Source organism: Homo sapiens, chromosome 1, assembly GCF_000001405.40.
Source record: "Homo sapiens chromosome 1, GRCh38.p14 Primary Assembly".
Lineage (NCBI taxonomy): Eukaryota > Metazoa > Chordata > Mammalia > Primates > Hominidae > Homo > Homo sapiens.
In genome coordinates this window covers 248770919-248774299 of record NC_000001.11, presented here as the reverse complement: position 1 = coordinate 248774299, position 3381 = coordinate 248770919, and the positions used below count along the sequence as shown (strand labels likewise).

The window sequence follows — 3381 nt, the reverse complement described above, 5'->3', positions numbered from 1 at the left end:
GGCAAGAAATTACCATACAAGATTTTCTTTCCATATAAAGTTATTTTTGGCCGGGCGCGATGGCTGACACCTGTAAGCCCAGCACTTTGGGAGGGTGAGGTGGGCGGATCACCTGAGGTCAGGAGTTCAAGACAGGCTGGCAAACATGGTGAAACCCCATCTCTATTAAAAATACAAAAATTACTCAGGCGTGGTGGCACACACCTGTAGTCCCGGCTACTCAGTAGGCTGAGGCAGGAGAATCGCTTGAACCCTGGAGGCAGAGGTTGCAGTGAGCTGAGATCACACCACTGCCCTCCAGCCTGGGTGACAGAGTGAAACTCTGTCTCAAAAAAAATTACTTTATTTATAACATTTTTCATCAAAAATATACCTTGAATTGGGCAGGTCAGATAGTGGGGGCGTGATGGCTACGAGTGGGCCAGGGTTGGGGGGTTCCGCCAGGTGGAGGCAGGATAACTCCAGGCCGGGAGGGAGTTGGAGGGGTGCCCCACGCCCTGAGGGGACAAAGGCAGATGAATAAGGACCAATTGTAGAGCTGCATTAAAGAAAAATGCCAAAATCTTCAGAAAATAAGGAATCTGCCAAAGAAGAGAAAATCAGTGACATTCCAGTTTCTGAAGGAACTCCAAGACATGTATGATTTCAAGGCTTTGCAAAGATTTTCACTGGCTGTCTTGCAGCAGTTACTGGTGGTATGATGTATGATCTCTACTTATCTGTATACCACGAACAGAAATTCTGGTTTTCCAACAGGCAGGAGCTTGACCGGGAAATCACATTTCAGGGTGACAGTGGCATTTATTACTCATAAAGATGTGTTAAAGGCGCCTTCATTTGAAAGAGGTGTTTATGAACTGACACACAATAACAAAACTGTATCTCTGAATAGCATAAATGCAGTGTAGCAAATGTTTCTATATCCAGAACCTATTGCCAGCGTTTTATATCAAGCCACTGGTAGCAATGAGATTATTGAGGTGGAGTATTTCTATATTGGCATTGTTTTTGGAGTGTAAGGAATATATGTTATTGCTTTGTTTGTTACAAGTTGGCTTATGAATGGAACGTGGCTAGCAGGAATGCTTACTGTTGCGTGGGTCATTATTAACAGGGTAGATATAATACAAGAATTGAATACTCCATTCCTTTAAGAGAAAACTGGGCACTACCATATTTTGCATGCCAAGTTACTGGACTTACAGGCTATGAGAAAGCAACTTAAATACTTATGGAGAGAGGTTTTGCTACTTGCTGATGAGTGCTTCAATTTACACATTTATGATGATGGGGAGTACAGCCACTCTCCCGTTTCTTCAAGCCATAACTCTGTTCCTGCTAGATATCTTTTCACTGGAGCAAAGTGATGAGGTTTATGAAGTTTATAAAATCTATGTATTTTCTCTCTTCCTGGGATATTTACTGCAGCTAGAGAATCAACCTTTATTGGTATCTTGTTTATTAAGTTTGGTAGCAGTCTCAATGCTTGCTAAGTGCCTTTGCTGAATCTAAAGAAAGGAAACTTTGTAGCTAAAATAATGAAAGTGATTAATTTTTACTTGGTGTGTACTCTAACAGTGACATTGTATGTTATAATGAAGATGTTTGTCCTAAACAGAGAAAACGGGCTCATGCTGAAATTCCTTGAAGTTAAGTTTGGACCAAATATGGCTAAGAATTTTACAATGAATTGGCTCCTCTGTCAAGAATCTCTACAGGGGCCATCTCAGGATTTTGTGTGTGTGTGTGATTGACACAGTCTTCTTTATTACCCTTTTATATTTTAGTGTTAATTATTTATTTTGTTCCTATGTTGCAAGTTATTTTTAGGAGGATTAATGGTAAATCCCTGAAAGAAGCTGTTACTCTTGAAGATGAACGAATTGGTGACATTATTGGAGAAATTATTTCATAATTCACACTATTTTATTGGGTTCTCTTGTGATGGTTATAGAAGGCTTGAAGTACATCTGGATTCCTTATGTGTGCACGTTAGCAGGATTTGGTGTACGTTCTTCTGAACTTTGAACGACACTTTTCAAGTGGTGCTGATTAAGAACTGTATACCCAATGTGGTTGTCTCTCCCTGAGCATGGCTGTGCCTACTATAGTAGGTCTCAGTTTATAGAAAGAGCTTTTTTCCAAGATTAATGGCACAATTAACGGAGTGACAGGAATTCTACGACCCAGGTACAGTGGAACTTATGACATGGATAAAAAGGCCAGTTCCAGCTGCAACTGTGTTTGCAGGGAGTCCACAGTTAATGGGTGCGATGAAGTTATGCACTGGAAGGCTGGTGACAAGTTTGCCTCTTTACAATGATGATCTTCTCAAGAGAAATGAAAACATCTACCAAATACATCCAAAGCGATCTGCTGAGAGTATTTATAACATACCGACAGCCAACAAAGCTAATTACCTAATGGTAGAGGATACTATCTGCAATGAGTTGGGAACCAGAGAGGCTGTAGGGTTAAAGATTTATTAGACATTGAAAATGACCACATGGTTTGCAAAGAAGGTGACAAGCTAACCTACTCAAAATATGGGCAATTTTTTCATGAGGTCAGAATTAACTGTTCTCTATGTGTGAATTATCTCACTAGAGTATACTGGAACAGATCCTACTTTGTACACAAAATCAACACTGCGGGCCACGTGCAGTGGCTCACACCTGTAATCCCAGCACTTTGGGAGGCTGAGGCAGGCAGATCAAGAGGTCAGGAGATCGAGACCATCCTGGCTAACACGGTGAAACCCTGTCTCTACTAAAAAAATACAAAAAATTGGCCGGGCGTGGCGCTGGATGCCTGTAGTCCCAGCTACTCGGGAGGCTGAGGCAGTAGAATGGCGTGAACCCAGGAGATGGAGCTTGCAGTGAGCCAAGATCGTGCCACTGCACTCCAGCCTGGGTGACAGAGCGAGACTCCATCTCAAAAAAAAAAAAAAAAAAAAAAAAAATCAACACTGTGATGTCCTCCCAATCTTGAAAAATAACTGAACCTTAATTTCACAGACTACCTGAAGTAGAATGCAATTTTTTTCTACCTGCTCAGATCAAATAGGGACATTTGAAATATTGCCGCTGCTTCTCCCTACCTGCTGTTAACCGGATCCAGAGTTCTGTGGGAAACAGAAGATCAAACGTTACTGTCCTTTGATAAAATGTGATATCTACCACTCTGCAATATTTCAGACGGGTATCTTCTTTACTATTACCTGGTCTTTAAAGATTTTACTGATTGCAACATTTCCCCATAAATCTTCATTCTATTATAATGTTGATCTTGAATTTGATTATGTTCAAGGTCAGAATATATTTCTCAAACATAATTTTATAAATATTTAATGTGATATAATTATATAATAGAAGGAAAGAA

At 40.5% G+C, this 3381-nt stretch overlaps 1 pseudogene; it reads left to right on the top strand.

Annotated features, from left to right (window-relative positions):
* On the top strand, positions 415–2951 carry DPY19L4P1 (DPY19L4 pseudogene 1; annotated as a pseudogene).